Below are 18,471 nucleotides of genomic sequence, written 5' to 3'. Positions count from 1 at the left end.
GCACTCCAGCCTGAGTGACGAGCAAGATTCTGTCTCAAAAAATAAAAAGTAAAAACACTGCAATGCAGAAAATCACTGGCAGAAGGCTTGCTTAGAGAGGTACTCTTTTGTTGTAGTTAGATTCCTAGTTGGGAAGTTAGCAGTTCTGGGTTCTGGTTTTAAATCTACCACTAACTAGCTAAGATACAAATCATATTTCTCAGGGTGTCATGCATCCTCCCTGAGAACTGGGTAGAAAAGCATCTCTGGTTCCTGCAATGTCATCACCATGGTTCTAATGATTAGAAACACATATTACCCATGGGATCAGTCATCAATGACCAGGAAGAAAATCATGGTGAGAACTTCTCAGAAAGAATCCCCTGGTTGGCTGGGTGTGGTGGCTCACGCCTGTAATCCCAGCACTTTGGGAGGCCGAGGTGGACGCATCACCAGAGGTCGGGAGTTCGAGACCAGCCTGACTAACATGGAGAAACCCTGTCTCTACTAAAAATACAAAATTAGCCAGGCATGGTGGCGCATGCCTGTAGTCCCACTCAGGAGGTTGAGGCAGGAAAATCATTTGAACCTGGGAGGCAGAGGTTGCAGTGAGCCAAGATTGCGCCATTGCACTCCAGCCTGGGCAATGAGAATGAAATTCCATCTCAAAAAATAATAATTAAAAAAAAAAAAGAATTCCCTGGTTAACTAGTCACATGGCTTAGAGGTTATTAAACTGATGGCTGCTGTCCCTCCCTAGCAGTGTATGCTGGTGACTCAGCGCCAAACGTGCCAACTTGAGCTGTGATTTCTTTTCCCAAAGGCAGTATGTTGATTCTCTGACCTTTGAATCTTTTATTTGGTCACAGCCATGGATAAAGAAATGAACCTGGAGAAGCAGCGTAGCCTCTTCCCTAGAGGGACTTAAGTCCCAGCTCTGACAGGGACCAACTGTAGAAGCCTGAGCAAGCCCTTCCCCTCTCTGGGCCTCACTTTGCACATCTAAAATGAGGGGAATTAAGCTAGATGTTCTCTAAAGTTACTTGCAAAATTCTCTATTTTTGTATACAGTATTAATTTGCCAACTCTTGCTAGATTTTCATCAACAGTGCAAATATCTGTAAAAGATCAAAGTCACTTCTGGTGCCAATCATCAGGAGCAGGGTGGCCAGGGTGACCTCTTCCATCCAAGCCATATTTTGCTTTCACTCTTCCACTTGAAGCCTGTCACAGTAGCAGCTAGTCTTTGACTGAGGGTGTACGATGGGCCAGGCGCTGATTTAACCACTGGGCCTAGATTCATACATGTAGTTCCCCATGATCCAAAGAGGTAGGTACCATGAAAGGTACTATTGTCAGCTCCACTTTACAAAGGGAATTGTGAGCCAGAGAACGGAAGTCACTCACCCAAGGTCACACAGCTAGAGCACAGCAGACAGAATTCTCACCAGGCAATCTGGCTTTAGTCAATTCCTATTGAGCTCCTATTATGTGCATATAATAAAAGACACTGCAAAGAATCAATATTTGGGGACAACTGTGATGGTATTTATGCCATGTTCAAAACTAATTTCCCCTTCTTCCTGAGAAGCTGGGGGAAATTCAGGACAACTTGAATTTCCTTTGTCAATATTCTATATACCTGCCAACGAGAACATTAGCAGATTGTGCAAGGAGGCATGGTTCTCCACACAAATACTTTCTATTATTGCTGAATCAATAGCTCTGGTGCTCAGTTTGAGAGAACTATATTTCTGAAATAAAGAGAAAGAAAATTTTACTCAGAAATTCCAATTCTGCCTTCACAAACAGCCTCCCGGTAAGAGCAGTGGAGGCGCGGGTAGTTGATGGCTAGATGGGCTCTGAAATTCAGCAGGAGGACCAGGGGCGGGGGATGGGTGAGTGATACTCTCATAGCAAGCCCTGGGAAAACAAGAGAGGTATTTCTAAGGACCTGCAGGCGCTGCGTGGCCCTTCCCACAGAAGGGCACCATAGCACAGTAGTTAAGAGCATGGACTCCTGACCCAGACTGCTGGGTCAACTCCTAGATCCACTGCTTATTATTAGAGCTGTGACCTTGGGCCCATGACCTCAGCTCTCTGTGCTTCAGTTTCTTCATCCCTAAAACACAGGTAACAATATGGTTTTATATAGGGATTATATACATTTATAGGGTATATCTGAAAGGATTAGAATTATGCCTACCAGGGACCAAGGCTATGTATGCATTAGCTGTTATTAATACAGTTTCAGGTAACTCACCAAGCCCTGTATTTGGAAATGCAGAAGTCAAGGGTTTAGATGGGTGTGGGATTTAACTTTCCCATTAAATATGCTTCCTTCTAAGAATAGCATTGTGATGGCCTTCCCAGAGCGTGAAGCAATGGGAATGAGTTTCTTTCCCTTTTTTCTACCACCCAATCGTTTCCATCCTTTGATTCCCCTGGGATCCTTTGCCACAGGTTCCAGCCCCTGTGACCTCCCATCCCTCTTGCACAATCTCGCAGCCTCCAGCTCACACCCAGCCTAGGCTGTTCCCTGACTGTGGGTAAGTCAGCCTCCCAAGAATGAGGCTGGATTTTTCCTCTGCTTCTCTTCCTCCCCCCATCTCATCTTCATGGATGGGCCTGGGTCTCCTCTTCCCATATTTCCTGATCAGAGCTGGCACACAGCTGGGCCCACAGAAGAAATCAGAGTCCAGGAGTTCGAGACCAGCCTGGGCAACATAGAGAGACCCCTTATCTACCAAAAAAAAAAAAAAAAAAACCTGGGCACAGTTGGTCCCAGCTACTTGGGAGGCTGAGGTGGGAGAATTGCTTGATCCTGGGAAGTGGAGGCTGCAGTGATCTATGATTATGCCACTGCACTTCAGCCTGGGAACAAGAGCAAGACCCTGTCTCAAAAAAAAATAAAAAAAAAAAAAGAAGAAGCTGGGACTCTGACTGGAGGGGGCCATGAGAACATGAGCTCCCTGGAACACATACATGCCCATGGAGGTCACTGAACCCCCTCAGGGAGGCAGGATAGCGTGCTCACAGCAACTTGAGTTAAATCTCAAAGGACAGCTGTCACCACATGGTAAGAGATATGGATGAGGGAGGCCAAGGAGAATGCAGCCCTCACACAGTAGGAACACGGCTTTCCTCCTTTCCCCAGACGGAAGGCAGGGCAAACAGTGGCTTCGGTGTTGTTCTGTTTCACTCCTTTCTTTGGGCTTCAATTAGTTAAACATCTCCCCTTGCTTCTGGCTTATTTCTAGCCTTCAGCATTATTGATAACTTCGGTGTATCTTGGGAAGGTGGGAGGGGTGAGCCAGGAGGTGCTAGTTGCAGCTATCATACTTCCACGTCCCCTACTTCGCATTTTTTCAGGGCTTTGTCTAATTCCAGGAATAACTGAGGGCTGTGGAGAAGAGATCAGAGTGGAAGAAAGTGGATCCCACCCTTCTCTACTGACAGCCTAGCTCAGACTACTCACCGGCAGGCTATGATGATGATCAGAGTGTCTGCCTGAGAGGCCATCAGCCCCAGCCCAGGGAGTAGCCGAGCAGAGACCAGGGAACCCCTGGCAGGGAGGCTGGATCCGTAAGAACGTAAACATGACCCAGGGGCAATGTAAGGCAGCTCAGCCATGGAGACGATTCCATTTCACAGATGAGAAACTTGAGGTCCAGACGATGAATCCCTTTTCTCCAAGGGCTCACAGCCAGTAAGTCTTACAGCCAGACCGGAATCCTCCCTCCCAGTTCAGGCTCCAGGCCAAGTGAACTAGGCAGAGGACAAACCTTGCAGGCCGCTGGCTTCACTCTCACACTACCCCACCCAGCCCCACCAGCCACCAGGAGAGCACTCTGAAGTCAATGTGGCATTCGGCTCTGGTTTCCTCTGGCTCTCTCCTTTGTCCTCCCATGGCCCAAGGGGAGGACAGCTGTTCTGGACACAGGTGACTCCATTACAAAAGGCCACCTCCTCACCTTGCCAGTCTGATGCCACTGGCCGGTGGTCTTGTCCCTGCATTCAGGTGGAAATGCCCCCAAGCTGCCCAGCCACTGGGCCTGACATTTGCCCAGTGAAGGGCTGAGTCCAGGATCTGCCAATCCCGTCGACCACTCACCTTTTATTGACCTGCTGTCTCAGGCTCTTGCCCTCTGGGGAGCCCCAAGCTCAAGGCCCCACAACATCACCCTGCCGTAGAGGCAGCGTGGCCCAGAACAAGAGGAAGAGACATGTGTCATTGATTTGTCTCACTGAGCAGGCAGAAAAAGGTTGGGGAGAGGGCCAGCTAAGTGGCTGGGGAAGAAGCCTTCCTGGGGGTGGCCTTCCTGAAAATGCCAGGTCCCAGGCCTCATGGGGCCTTGGTTTCTCCACCTGTGAGATGGAAGCATGAATCGAGTGACTGTCAAGGTCCCTTCTGGCTGCAGTGTTCTCTGGATAGCAGCATCTGGACCAGGACTCAGGCCACCATCACGTCCCTGCAGAGTCTGCTGCCTGATCTCCCTGCCCCTGGGCGTGTCCCAGCCAAGCCATCCTCCACCCTATTCTTCCCACGTTCCAGCCCTTGTCACTCCCATGGTGGAAACCTCCAAAGTCTGCCTTACCCAGCCCACATGCCCCAGGCCTGCGCTCTGCCCACGGCCCTGCCTCACCCTAGTAGTCCCCCTTTTATGGACTGAATGTTTGTGTACCACTCCCCCACCCCAAAGCCAAATGATGAAATCCTAAGCCCCATTGTGATGGTCTTAGGAAATGTGACCTCTGAGAGGTGACTAGTCAGGAGGGCAGACCCTTCATGATGGGATTCTTGTCCTCATATAAAGGGACAGGAGAGCTTGCTCTGTCTCCATCCTGTAAGGCTATGAGGAGAAGATGGCCATCTGGAGGCCAGGAAGTAGTTCCACACCAGACACCACCTGCCAGCACCTTGATCTTGCACTTCCCAGCCTCCAGAACTGTGAGAAATAAAGTCCTATTTTTTATAAGCCGCTGAGTCTATGGTATTGTTCCGCAGCCCAAACTGGCTAAGACATCCCCTCAGGCACCCATCTATGACAGATGCCACCCATACAAACCACATGCTGGTCCGTGGGCCTGCCTTGTTCTCGCTCATTTGCTGTTGACACCTCCAGCCTCACCCAGCTGAGGTCCCCTCATTCCTTAAGCTGCCTTCCCTGGCCCCACTGGCGGGGTGCACGGGTTGGTGATGCTTACTCCTCCCCCCATAGGCCTTGCCTGTTTACTTATTATCTCCCCCACCAAGCTGGGGCAACCACTGTGTCTTCTCTCCCTGCCTCCTGCACTTAATAGTTGCTCAATAAATAAAATTGTGTGAAGTTCAAATCAAACACTGTCTTCTGCCTTCCGGCCCAGTGTTCTTGTAGGGGTCCAGGAAAGTCAGGCATAGGTAATGGCATCCAGAACCTGCCCACTGTGTGACCCTGCCATTGACCACTCCACGCCCCTTGCCCTGAGGCTCCCAGGGTCCTCCCTGTCCATTTGTTCACTTGACATCTAATAACCTACTTTGTTCTAAGCACCCATGGTCAGGCATCGCACAGGGTCTTGCACATAGTAGGCCTTCAGTGTTTGTTGACTTTGAAACAAAATAACAATAACGGCAACCTCTCACATTTCTAGGCAGAGTTTGTCCACACAGGTCCTCACTTGGTCCTCACAATGGCCACCCACGACAGGTATTATTTTGTTTTACAGGCAGGAGAACCGAGGGGGAAAGAGTGGAGAGAGCAAGTTAGGCATCTCGTGAGCCACAAAAGACGCTGGAGCAGGGGCAGGGACAGGCCCCGCGGGGTTGGAGCCCAGACCCTGGCACAGGCCAAGCCCTCCAGGGCAGCCTCAGCCTCCCTGCGCCAGCTGGGATCCCCTCCATGGGTTTCTGCCCAGGACAGCCCATGGCGCCTGCTCCTGGAAGGAGCCTGCACATGGGACAGGGCACAGCTGTGAAACCACAGACAGGACAGAGCCAGGCCTGATGCCACTGGGCACCGGAGCCTGCACTATTCCGGAAAACACGGGCTCCACAGCTCTTCTCGGGCACAAAGTTCAGGGCTCGTTCATGAGCAGGTAGAAGCTCCACCAGAGCTGACTTAATCTCTATTAATCAAACGTGACCTGTTTTTCTTTAGAGACCAGTGACAACAGAACTGCATCGTCACTCCTGCTCTGCCCTGGCCTTCCTGAACCAGGATTTGGGAGGCAAAAAAGAGAGTGGAATCAAAGTAACATCCCATGGAACCCATGGGGTAAAAATGAAAATTAAAACTGACCCAAATCAATGTCTGTTCTTTCAACAATGCTGTAAAATTGTGTTCTGAAATTGCATGGCAAGAGCAGAGTCTGCAGCCTGAGGCTAAATTGGTGTGACCGCAGCTAAATTAAGGAGACAGCATTAGAAACCTGGGGAATGTCACCTGGCCACAAGGTTGGGGTGGAGCCGGGAGCTCCCTCTGCGGGACCCAAGGCACCTCGTCTCCTATGGCACTGGGTCTGAGCAGTCTTAGTCACAGGCAGAGATGTGGTCTGTGTGGTGGCCCCAAATGCAGGGCAGAGGTCCGTTTCTCGACAGGTGCCGGCTTTCCTTAGACTCCTCCTTGGACTGAGAGGACCAGCTCATCCCTTCCTGCCTGGGCTGCTGCATTCGCCCACACTGACTTCTTCACTCCAGACTTGCCACCTCCAACCCAAGACTACCCTGCTGCCTGAGCAAACCTTCTAAAATGCAGACCCTCCCCTACCCCTCCCCTGCTTGGGGACACATGTGTCCCTAAGTCCTCCAGCCCTTCAAAGTCACCGTTTCCTTTCACAACTACATACAATGACCGAGCCACCCCATCCTATCAGATTTACAGAAGGTCTAGGCTCCCTGCAACAGTGCTGGCTCCCAGGCAGGTGGGTGGGGTGTCTTACATTTTCCTGGTCACTTTTTACTCTAAAGTCTACTCCTGTTCAATTCCTGAACACTTCTGTGTTGGTCAGAATTCCAGGGGTAGTGAGCAACAGAAACAAACTTTAAACATAAAGGAAGGTTTATTAGAAAGCTCCCTTACTGGAGGCAGGGGCAAGGCTAGCCTCAGGTCCAACTGGAGTTGAGGCCTTAAAGGCTACCAGGCCCTTCTTTCCTCCTCTCTTCTCTGCCCATGCTCTTGGCTTGGCTCTCAATGAAGCCGCTACACTTGGCATCTCTGGTTCTTCATGAGAAAGGAATAGGCTCTCTCTTTGGAACAAAGTTTAAAAATTCCAGCTGAGCAAGATGGCTCATACCTGTAATCCCAGCACTTTGGGAGGCCAAGATGGGAGGATCGCTTGAGCCCAGGAGTTCGAGACCAGCCTAGGTAACATAATGAGACTCTGTGTCTACAAAAACCATTTTAAAAATTAGCTGGGCATGGTGGCCCATGCCTGTAGTTCCAGCTACTCAGGAGGCTGAGGTGTGAAGATCACTTGATCCTGGAAGGTAGAGGCTATAGTGAGCCATGATCATGCCACTGTACTCCAGCCTAGGTGACAGCATAAGACCCGGTCTCAAAAAATAAAAATAAAAATCCCAGAGGAGGGCTATGATTGGGTAATTTCAGATCAGCTGTCCATTCCTGTACCAACCAACCATGGTCAGCGGGGTGAGACACTCTCATTGTCCAGCTTGGTGAATAGCATTTGGCCAATCCACAGTGGCTGGCTGCTAGCCTGATCACGTGGCTGGAAAAGAGCATGCCTGTTCTTTGCTCCCAAGGGAACAAAATCCGTTCTTAGGAGGCAGAACCATCTGATATGAGAATGGTCTGTGGCCCTCCAAAGAGGCAAGTACATGACACATATACAGTATGTCTGTGGTATTAAAATTTCATGGTAGGAGGGAAGGCAATTAGGAAAATAAATATCTAAAAAGCCTCCTTGTAAATAATAATGGGAAAAAAAAGGCTGAGCAGCGTTGGAGTAGAGGATGGAGCATTTCTCAGAAGGACAGTACCATCTTGGGACAAAACAAAGAAATGTCCAGTTCAGCTCCCGCTTCCTGCAACCTCTCACCTCTCCTAACCCTGTATCCAACATGCCCCAGCACCTCCTCCTTCACTGCTGGCACAGGCTGTTGTGTATTGTAGACTTTTCTGAAGATGAGGCATAACATTCATTGACAATTCACCACCATAGGGAAGCTCCTGGTTCATCCATGCTTGGACCTGGCCTGTGCCAGTCCGTGTCTCCTCTTCTTTTTCCTCCTCCTTTCTAGAGCCCAGCTCCTAGCCCTTCTACACTGTCTCCATCTTGGAATGCCATGCTCAATCTAGTCATTTCAATAGCTTTGCTTTACAAAGCTAGTTAGGTCTCTTTCCACACACTTCTCTTTTAGATCATGCTGAGTTTGTCTTTCATCACCAAAAAGGCCCATGAAGGCATTTTCAAAAACATAAAGCCTCCTTTCCACACTGAATCTACCCTTAGTAACACAAAGCTTATAAACGAGCAGGTTGTTATTAACCTGCTCAGATCACGTTGCTAGGCAAGGTTTATTCTACCACCAGCAGCCTCAGAAAGTGAAAGGCTGTCTAGAGGAAACCCTGCAGGCTCAAGTTTTTTGTTTTTTTATTGTCGTTGTTTGTTGTTAACACCTTCCATTTAGAGGGATCAAGTCCAGACAGACTTCTTTGACCATTTAGGCTCCCTTAGATGGGGTTCCCCAAAGGTGAGGATTCCTGTGCAGGGATGTGTAAAGAAAATGTTCCCAGGAGCGACTGGTAAGAGACGAGGCAAGGCAGGACGGAGAATGGAAAAGATCCCAGGCAGAGTCCCGGCCTCTGCCTGGTTCCACAAGGAGTTCTAGAATGTCCATTACACTTCAGAGTTCCTTCCACCTCCAGGCAAAGGAACACCAATCACTCAATGCTAAGGATGCCCTTAGGGGGTTGGGAGGATATAAATTCCTGGGTACTTTGTGCAAAAAGTGGTTCTCATTGCCCCAGGAGAGTTCTAAGAAAGTTCTAGGTTGTGAAAAGGGACCTATTTAGAAGCACAAGGAAAGCCAGGGGAATGGCACTGACATGGATTGAATCTGTGTGCCCCCACCCCCCAGATTCCCAAGTTGAAGCTTTAACCCTTGATGTGATGCTATTTGGGAGGTAATTAGGGTTTAGGGTTAGGTGAGGTCATGAGGGCAGAATCCCCATGATGGAATTAGTGCCTTTAGAAGAAGAGGAAGAGACAAGAGTCCAACATCTCTGCCATGTGAGGAAACAGCAAGAAGGTGCCACCTACAGACCCAAGAGAGGGCCCTCATCAGAACCTGACCATGCTGGCACCCTGATCTTGGATATCACCGCCTCCAGAATAGAGAGAAATCAATGTCTGTTGTTAAGGCCACCCAGGGTATGGTACTCTGCTACAGCAGCCCAAGCTAAGACAGGCACCCAGAACACCCCCCCAAGAGAGGAACCTGGGCTAAGCACCACAGTGCCTACTGCTACCCGGACCCTCCTAAAGCTGCAGAGAATCTGGCTTCCCTCCAGCTTGCCCCACCCAGCCAGGCTCCCAGCTGCATGAGACCTTGCTCCCTGCTTCTGCTCAGGAGACTTCCCCATTTGCAGTAAGGGTCTCCCATTCCTCCATCTGCTTAAACCCTTCAAGGTGCTCCTGCAGTACCTTCCCAGGAAGTGCCCTCTCACTCCCCTGAGCTGGCCCAGCACCTGTGCCATGTCCCACCTCCCATCAGTTATGGATGCCAGGTCTCATGGGTTCCCCATGCCTCTCCTTCCCATGTCCCTGCACACTCTGAGGCTGGCCTCTGCTCTTGGTGCCTGCTATTAGGCTGGCCCCTGGAGACCTACAGCTGAAGGCTGCTGAAGGGAACTGTCCCAGCCATCTTTCAGAGTCTGCCCAGCTCTCAAAGTCCTTCCCAGCTTATGATGTTTTGTAGGAGGTATCCACCTTCTACAAGGAGCCCTCTCTGACCAAGCCCATCTGGCTGGGTCCGGGAAAGCCAAATCCTGCCCCAGGACTTGGGATAGGGTTTTCACCCTGCCACCTTCAAATAAATGAGGAATCCGATCAATTCTTCCTCCATTTTTCCTATAAAGATTTCCCTGTACCACTGAGACTAAGCTCTGTACAAAATAGGAGGGAAGGGAGAAGAAAAAACAAGGAGAGGAAGGTTGGGGCACATCCACATTCATCCTTATCCTCCCAGAGCTTGGAGAACAGTCCACACCAGCGAGGCAGAGCTTCAGACTCAGACCTGTGAGATTTCACAGGAGAGGGAGGTGGGACCTGGAACAGCCAGGAAGGCTGCCTGGAGGAAGGGGCTGAGGGTGGGGAGGAAGCACTCAAGGACAGAAAAGTGTCCCATGTCTTAGATAGGGAGACCGGAAGGAGCACAGAGTGTCTGAGTTACTTAAATCGGGACTGAGTTTTCCAAGGTCTCTCTCCACCATGCCTGCATCTCCAGGAGAAAGTTTGGTGCCCCACTAATCACATTCCTCACATGCTTTCCCCTCAGATCCTAACAACAAGCAAGGTGCAACTGTGGCTTAAGCTTTTAAACCCCCTGCACCAGGCCCACCTGTCAGGAACAGCTCCTAAGGAGGCTTCTGAGGCTCTGGAAGAACAGACCTCACCTCATGAGCCCTGACCCAGCCCCAGGTTGAACCTGTCCCCGCCAAGAACAGCACTGCTCAGCCACCTGATATCAGGATCCCTAACCATTTCCTGAAATGGAACCTGGGCCCCATACAGACAGACACCTGGGCCCCATCCCAAGCTACTTCATTGGAATCTCTGGGTGAGCCCTGCCATGGCTGTATTTGCTGTCGGTTGGGTTTTTTTTTTTTTTTTTTGAAAGCATTTTATTTTGATAGAATTTCAAACGTACAGAAAAGTTGGAAGAATGATCCAAAGCATATCCATATACCCCTTTTCCAGATTTACCAACAATTTACATTTTGCCCCATCTGCTCTCTTGTTCTATCTATGTATCTATCTGAGTTTATTTCTGAACCATTTGAAAGTATGTTGGAAACATGGTGCCCCTTTAATCCTAAATGTGTATTTTCCAAGAATGAGAACATTCTCTTACCTACCCACAGTACAGTATCAGAATCAGCAGATGTAGCATTGATACAGTACTATCTAACCCAGCATCCACACTCCCATCTCAGTCATCCCAGTAGGCATTAGCACCTGTTAAAAGCTCCTCAGATAGGTGTTAGGCAGTGCTGGTTCAGCTGAGACCCAGGGCAGCCCAACCCTGTGCTGAAGCAGGGACCACAGCCTAGGCCCCTCCTGCCTGTCTCAATTCCTCTCTCCCACCTGGGGAGCTACAGCCCCGGGCAATGCTGGCAGCCGATAGAAGGCATTAACCCCTTCTCTGCAGGCTGGATGGAGAGCATAGCCCCTTGGCTGGCTGGGTAGCAGCAGCTGTCTGGGACCAGCTATAAATAACCTGGAGGCTGTGGGCTGTGGGGCGGGGTCACCACTGCCCTGTGGAAGAAGTGGGTGGAGAATACCTCCTCATGCCCAAGGCCTTACCTTGGCCTCCCCTCCAGGGCCGGGTGGGGTGGGGCTGGCCAGGGTGTGACCACCGTGCTGGGCAGCAGGCTCCAGTCCCTAACCCCCAGCCACTACTGGCATGAGGGGTCCCTCAGGGCCCCCAGGCCTCCTCTACGTCCCACACCTCCTCCTCTGCCTGCTCTGCCTCCTCCCACCGCCGCTCCAATACGTAAGTGCAGGGAGTGGGAGTCCACGAGGTGGGGCGCCAGGAGCACGGAGCTCCCAGCTCTCATGACTAGGGGCGGGGGTCTCAGGGCCTGGTGGCTGGGCTGGATCGGGGATCCTTGTGTCTGATGATGAATTGGAGATCCCGTGCCTGGGTGAGGGGGTCTCAGGGCCTGGTGGCTGGGCTGGATCGGGGATCCTTGTGTCTGATGATGAATTGGAGATCCCGTGCCTGGGTGAGGGGGCAGGGGAAGGGAAGATGAAACTGTGAGGCTGGCCAGGATGAGACTGGGAGACCCCTGTGGATAAGCAGAGGGTTCTGGGGTGACATCCTAGCATCCAGAACTTGACTACCTCAGGGTCCAAGATTCCCTGTCTCCTATCCATTCTCTCCCCACCCCCATGACCCCCCTCCATCTCTCCTGCAAGATCCTTGACTTCTTTCCCCAGCCCACCCCTAGTTCTGACCCTTACCCCCAGGGACCCGCAGAGAGCCACCTCCTGCCCCTGCTGCCTTGTCTCCATCCTTCCTCTCAGTGCCTGGAATCAGGCAGCCCCCAGTACCAGATGAGCGATGGGGACAGAGTGGGCTCTGGGAGAACCAGCCTCTCCAAGGGTTTCTCAAGACTCAGAGCTTCATCCAGCCACACCCCGTGCCTTTGTCCAGAGTCAGGGGCCACCGATGGAAGGTGGGGAGAAGGGACACAGAGCGACCATCAAAAGAGAGCTGAAGAAGTAGGGGAGAGGCTGGTGGGAGTGGTCCACCTCCAGCCTTCTCCCCATTTTACAGATGGGGAAACTGAGGCTCAGAGTGGTAGGGTGACCTGTCCTAGGCCTCACAATCTGGAAAGTAGTGCCTGTGGAAGCTAAGAGGCTTGTCGCTGTCCTGACTCTGCCACAGACCAGCTTTGGGGACCATTCTCTGGGGCTTAGTGTCCCTATACGTATAAGGAGGATAATACATTCAACAGTAATTCAACAGATAATTGCCTACAAAACCAATCCAGATCCCTGCTTTGCTGCTTAATGTGTGACCTTGGACAGGTTACTCAAATCCTCAGTTTCCTCATCAGTAAAATGAGGATCACAACGGTGCTTACTGAACAAGCTTGTTGTGAGGAACATTGAGGTAATACAAGTAAAGCAAGCAGCATCATGCTTGGTGTGGTGTGAGCACGCAGTGAATGCCAGCTATGCTTTTGTGCCAGCCGCCACAGATACAGCATGAGGACATGAGGGTCCCTGCCTTCCTGGGGGCCTGGCCAGGTGGAGGAGAGAGGTGGGAGGCAGGTAGTATGCTGAGCTGTGGTCAGTGTCCGATAGGCAGATGGCCCCCAGACCTGCTGAGTCCTTTGAGTGACTTTGCAGACTGCAATTGGGATGGGTGAAGGTTGTACAGGGGGCTCACCATCCACCCCTCTGCCCCCAAGACATCTTGGGCTTTGAGCTCTCTTGCCCTCTCCCACTTGTTTTCCAGATAGGTGCCTTCCAGGAGATCCAAGTGTTGGGGCAAGGGTTGCCCCTCAGCCCGTCCCTCTGGGGTCCATGCTGCCAGCCGCCCAAGCTGGTTAGACGGAGGAAGCTTCTGCTGGCTGCTCCAGAGGTGCCCTAGGATTCTCAGGGCAACACTGTGGTCTCAGCGTCCCTTGAGGTCATCCCAGGCCCTGCGCCTAGCTCTCCTGCGGATCCCGGAGTGGGATAGAGACCAGTTACTTACCCACAGCCACTCAGCATGTAAGCAGCTGGAGAGCACTTAAACCTCGGCCTTTCTGACGCCAAAGCCCAGCCTTCCTCTCACGGGGCCTTCATGGCAATGGGACTTTTTCCCGGGTCCTGAGACGATGAGACCTGGAGCAGGCAGTCGGGAGGGAAGGCAGCCCAGGAGAGCCCAGCCTTGGAGGCTTCTCAGTTATTCATCCAGTGTTTAAGGAGGACTGCCCATGGGGAGGATCCAGGGTCTGAACGCTCATCTGGTTCCTGTTCTTGTGGTGTTTATAGCCCAGAAGCGGGTGTGGCAGGAAAGAAAGGAGTCTGTGTTTACAAGTTCCAGTAAATGGGCTCAGAAGAAGCATGTGTAGGTGTGAGGGCCCTTGACAGGATGGGGGAGCCTGGTGGGAGGTGGGCAGCATAGCAGAGTTGGAGATGGGTAGTCCAAGGGAAGGGATAGGGGAGCAGGTTGGGGGTAAGGCCCCAGGGCCCCAACCCTGAAAAGACATTATGTGGGAGACTGCAGAGCTGTATGGGTCCTGGTGGGATCTGAGGACATGGGGAGCTCTCTGAGCAGGGGAGGTGCCTGGTCTGATCTGCAATTGTAAGGGTTCCAGCTGGTGCTTTTGAGTGAAGAGGATGCCCTGGCCCAGGGCACACTGAGAGCCTGGAGGAACCCACCCAGCCTTGACCCTGGTGCTCCCTATTCCCCGTGGAGGCCTTCGGGAAGCTGGTCCGGAGGCAGGTGGTAATCTAGCAGCTGTTAAGTGGTGTTAGGCGCCTTACTCAAACACCGGGAAGGTGGGACCACTTATTTACAGACAGGAAACAAGTTTAAAGAGGCTCAGCAATGCCACTTGCCTCCCACTCTGTGAAGATCACAGGAGCCTCTCAGCCCCTGCTGACTAAGTCCAGCTCCTTGGAGCTTTGGACAGCGAGACACCCCCCAGGGTCTCAGGATGGTGCCTCTGTGACCTCTTGCCCCAGGTCCTGGCTTCTGGTGGGCCCATCTGCCCCAAGAAGGCTCAACAAAGAGAACAGAACACAGAGAAGTCCCTGGCAGTCCCTGGACCCTCCCTGACCTGTCCGGCTCACACCAAAGACCGAGTCCACAGTGTCCCCTAACATACACACACTGAGGGTCTGCAGAGCCGGGGCTCCAGGGCCATTTGCCAGCAGCTAATGCATTGAATGACTTTTCCCAAAAATTCAACTCCCTTCTGAGCGTTTTCTAGCCTCACTAGCTAATTTAGTCTCTAGTTTTGCCATTTTGTTGGTGTTTCAGTATTTTTTTTTTAAATCTGTCTGAGGGCAATGGCTACTTAATTCTGTATTCCTCCTAAATCTCAAATTTGCAGCACTTTAAGAATTATGGGACTACTCTTTATCTTCTTAGCTGTCATATTCTACTTCATTTAATTTAAACCATTTTATCTACAGCTAGTTTATCTACAGTCACTTCTTCCAAAATTCTAACTTTTTAAATTTTAATTTTAATTATTTTATTTTATTTTTTTGAGATGGAGTCTCACTCTGTTGCCCAGGCTGGAGTGCAGTGGCACAATCTCGGCTCACTGCAACCTCTGCCTCCTGGGTTCAAGCGATTCTCCTGCCTCAGCCTCCTGAGTAGCCAGGACTATAGGCGCCTGCCAACATACCCAGCTAATTTTTTTTTGTACTTTTAGTAGAGATTGGGTTTCACCATGTTGGCCAGGATGGTCTCGATCTCCTGACCTCATGATCCACCCACCTCGGCCTCCCAAAGTGCTGGGATTACAGGTGTGAACCACCGCGCCTGGCCTTAATTTTTATTTTTAATTTTTGTGGGTACATAGTAGGTATATATATTTGTGGGATACATGAGATATTTTGATACAGGCATGCAATGTGTAGAAAATCACATCATGTAAAATGGGGTATCCATCCCCTCAAGAATTTATCCTTTGTGTTACAGACAATCTAATTATACTTTTAGTTATTTTTAAATGTACAATTAAATTATTGACTACAGTCACCCTGTTGTACTATGAAATACTACGTCGTATTCATTCTATTTTTTTTTGGTACCTGTTAGCCCATCCCCTACTACCCTTCCCAGCCTCCGGTAACCATTCTTCCACTCTCTATCTCCATGCGATTGTTTTGAATTTTAAATCCCACAAGTAAGTGATAACATGCGATGTTTGTCTTTCTCAACATTCTAATTTTTAGTCATTGCAAACCCATGGGGGACAGATTATTCAATAAGCTTATTTTATTTTACTTAGCAGCCCTACAGGGCCTATCATGGGCACTGATGCACCTCACCTATTTTTACCTTCATACCAACGCCCTGAGTTAAAACCATCCTCTCCCCATTTTGCAGATGAGGAAGTGAGGTGAGCTCACGTGCCCAGGGCCGCTCAGCTGGTATGTGGCAGGACCAGGATTCCGGCCCACAGCCTGACTCCAGATTCCTTTCCTTTAACAAAATTTTAATTTTAATGTTATTTAATTTTAATGTCAAGTTATTTTTAGGACATTCGGACAGACTCCAAAACAAATCAGAAGAGATGTGACTTTTATGCAAACTGGACATTAGATGTGTTGATAATTAAGGAGATAGCTTTAGGCCAAGTGGCCTGCTACGGGACCTCCTGCTGGCCAGTTCCTGCCCCTATGTTGGGCCAAGTCACCTCTCCCTCCCCTCCCCTTCCCCCTCCTACTCCAGTCAGTGTTCAGGGCCCAGGGCTCGGCACAGGTGAGACAAGCAGGACTGAGGGGAGAGGGATTCATGGGCGTTCAGAGAGAAGAGAGAACAGCAGAATGAGGAGAGGCCTAAAGCCTCCCGGGGGAGCTGGAGGGGAACTGGGAAGGAAGAGTGGGGCATCCTAGGAAGACGAACTTGGCCGAGCACAGACTCAGGAACAAGAAAGCCGCTGGGAGCTGCCCAGGAGGCCAAGGGGATTCTCACTCAACATCCAACACCCTACAAGTTAGAACTGAGTATCTAAAGTCTCCTCTTCCAAGGAGCCTGCCTGAACACACCAGAAAACAATGACCCACTTCCCTCATCTGACACCCCACCCCTCGCCCGCCCCTCGGCCAGTCTCAGCTCCCATTTCTGCCCCCTATGTCTGTGCAGGGCCTGACTGCCTCGTCCTCCCCCTCCTTCCTCATGTCCACCTTCCTCCCCTCTTCCCCCTCCTCCCCGTTCCTGTATCCTTCCTTCCTCCCCCACCTCCTCCCCTTTCTCTTCCCAGTCTCCTCCACCTCCTTCCCCCATACTCCTCTTCCTCCCCTTCCTTCCTTCTCTCCTCCCCATTCTCCCCCTCTCCCTTTTCTGACCCCTTCTTCTCTCCTCATCATCCCCTCTCCTCCCTGCTCCTCCTTCCTCCTTTCTTCCCTTCCCTTTTCCTACTCCTCTGCACTCCTCCTCCCCTCTTTTCCAGTCTTCTCCTCCAAGCCTTCTCCTTCTCTTCCCTCTCCTCTTGCTCCTTCCTCTAACTCTGTGCTCCCTAAGGGGCAGGGCCTGAGCTCAGGCTCAATGAAATCCACTGAATGAAAGCAAACATGGGGTGGAATGCTGCCCCTCCCAGCTGAGTCCTTCTCTGACCTTGGGAAGCAGAGGGAGAAAGCAGGGAGGGAGCTCACCCCATTCCCCTCCGGTCCCTGGCAGCCTGGGCCCAGGACACATGGTCCTGTAAATCTCCCCAGCTTATACCATGGGCTAAATTTAGACAGAAGCTTTGTCGCCAGGCCCTGGAGGGAACACTAGACTGGGCCAGACCCCCAGGTTCCAGGGAGGCGATACCTTTGAGGCCTGTCGGGGCCCCGGGCACAGGTTCTGTTTGGATAGGACCCAAGGTGGAAGAAGAGCAGCTGGAGTCTTGGCTCTCATTCCTGCATCCTTCCCCAGCCAGGGCCTCTCCTTTGCCTCTTCTAAGGTGAGGGCCTCCCATGCCAGGCACTGAGAGGCGGGAACCAGGACCTGGGCCCTCACACAGGCTAGGCTCAGAGCAAAGTTCAGAGAGAAGGAAATATAACAAGCAGGAAAAGCCCACAACCTGGTCTCCCGGGATTAGGGGTGGGGATGTAGCTCTACCTGGCTGAGGGGGCCATGGTTTCATTAATCCATCCAAGCAGTCAGTCAGTTGACAAACATTTATTGAGCACCTGCTGTGTGCCAGGCTCTGAACTGGGGACTGGGGACACAGATGTGGACCCTGTGCTCCCACAGCCTACAGTCAGTCTCATGGGCTGGGGTGTGCATGGTGGAGAGCTCTCTGCCCTAGAACAGCCAAGAGCTAATCAGCACAGGTGTCCAAGACGTTCCCCTCAGAAGAAAGAAAAATGGAAACAGGAAAACATTCCATTTCTTCTCTACACTCTTACACACCTCTGACACCAAAAGTGTGGATTTTCTGCCCCAAGCAATTCTCCACTTCTCTGGGGACCCCAACTGGGTGTCCTCCAATTCAATTCAATTCTGATGCTATCTTCCTGGAGTTGGCATCAGCCTCCACAGGTAAAGCCTCAGTCCCACAAGACTGCCCCCAATTCAGATGCCAGTCGCAAGACAGGGCTTCTCATTCTCCCAACCGACAGGCTATATAAATCAAGAGTTCCCATGACCCTCTCTTTGGGTTCAATAGTGTGCTATAACATTTTGCAAAACTCAAGGAAACATTTCTATTTACAGGTTTATTTTAAAGTCTATCACAAAGGATATAGCTGAACAGCCAGATGGAGAGGCACACAGGCCAAGCTGTGGGGAGGGCGCAGAGCACCGTGCCCTCACTGGATGCCACCCTCCCCGCACCACCAGGTGGTCACCAACCAGAAGCCCCCAATCCCACCTTTGAGGGGTTTCACGGAGGCTCCATTACAGAGGCATATTAACCCAATCTCCAGCCCGTCTCCCTTCCCCAAGGTGTAGGAAGGTGCTGAAAGCTCCAACCTTCTAACCATGGCTTGGTCTCTCTGGTAACCAGCTGCATTTGGCAGCCCACCAAGAGTCACCTCATTAGAACTAACGACACTCCTGTCACCCAGGAAATTCCAAAGGTTTTAGGGATTCTGTGTCAGGAA

At 51.2% G+C, this 18,471-nt stretch overlaps 1 protein-coding gene and 1 long non-coding RNA gene across 3 annotated transcripts in view, besides 1 other annotated feature; one reads left to right on the top strand and one right to left on the bottom strand.

Moving 5' to 3' along the window:
* LOC105375220 (uncharacterized) overlaps positions 1–13,900 on the bottom strand; it is a 48,157-nt gene extending 34,257 nt beyond the window's left edge. The window contains exon 1 of the long non-coding RNA XR_001745154.2: positions 13,412–13,900. This is a non-coding gene — a long non-coding RNA (uncharacterized LOC105375220). The remainder of the gene's footprint in view (positions 1–13,411) is intronic.
* Positions 3,703–4,203: an enhancer, noted in NCBI's record as "H3K4me1 hESC enhancer chr7:30747055-30747555 (GRCh37/hg19 assembly coordinates)". NCBI's record gives its function as "activates a minimal SCP1, AML or CMV promoter by ChIP-STARR-seq in primed H9 embryonic stem cells {active_cell/tissue: H9 hESC(primed)}" and the evidence as "EXISTENCE:reporter gene assay evidence [ECO:0000049][PMID:30033119]".
* Positions 11,539–18,471, top strand: part of CRHR2 (corticotropin releasing hormone receptor 2) — a 48,162-nt gene continuing 41,229 nt past the window's right edge. For both annotated transcript variants that reach the window (NM_001202475.1, NM_001202481.1), the window contains exon 1: positions 11,539–11,698. In NM_001202475.1, the coding sequence (NP_001189404.1) occupies positions 11,609–11,698 (90 nt within the window). In that variant the 5' untranslated portion in view covers positions 11,539–11,608. The remainder of the gene's footprint in view (positions 11,699–18,471) is intronic.

The sequence above is a fragment of the Homo sapiens genome, chromosome 7 (genome assembly GCF_000001405.40).
Source record: "Homo sapiens chromosome 7, GRCh38.p14 Primary Assembly".
Taxonomy (NCBI): Eukaryota; Metazoa; Chordata; class Mammalia; order Primates; family Hominidae; genus Homo; species Homo sapiens.
Note: the sequence above shows the minus strand (reverse complement) of the source record. Positions and strands in the feature narration are given on the sequence as shown.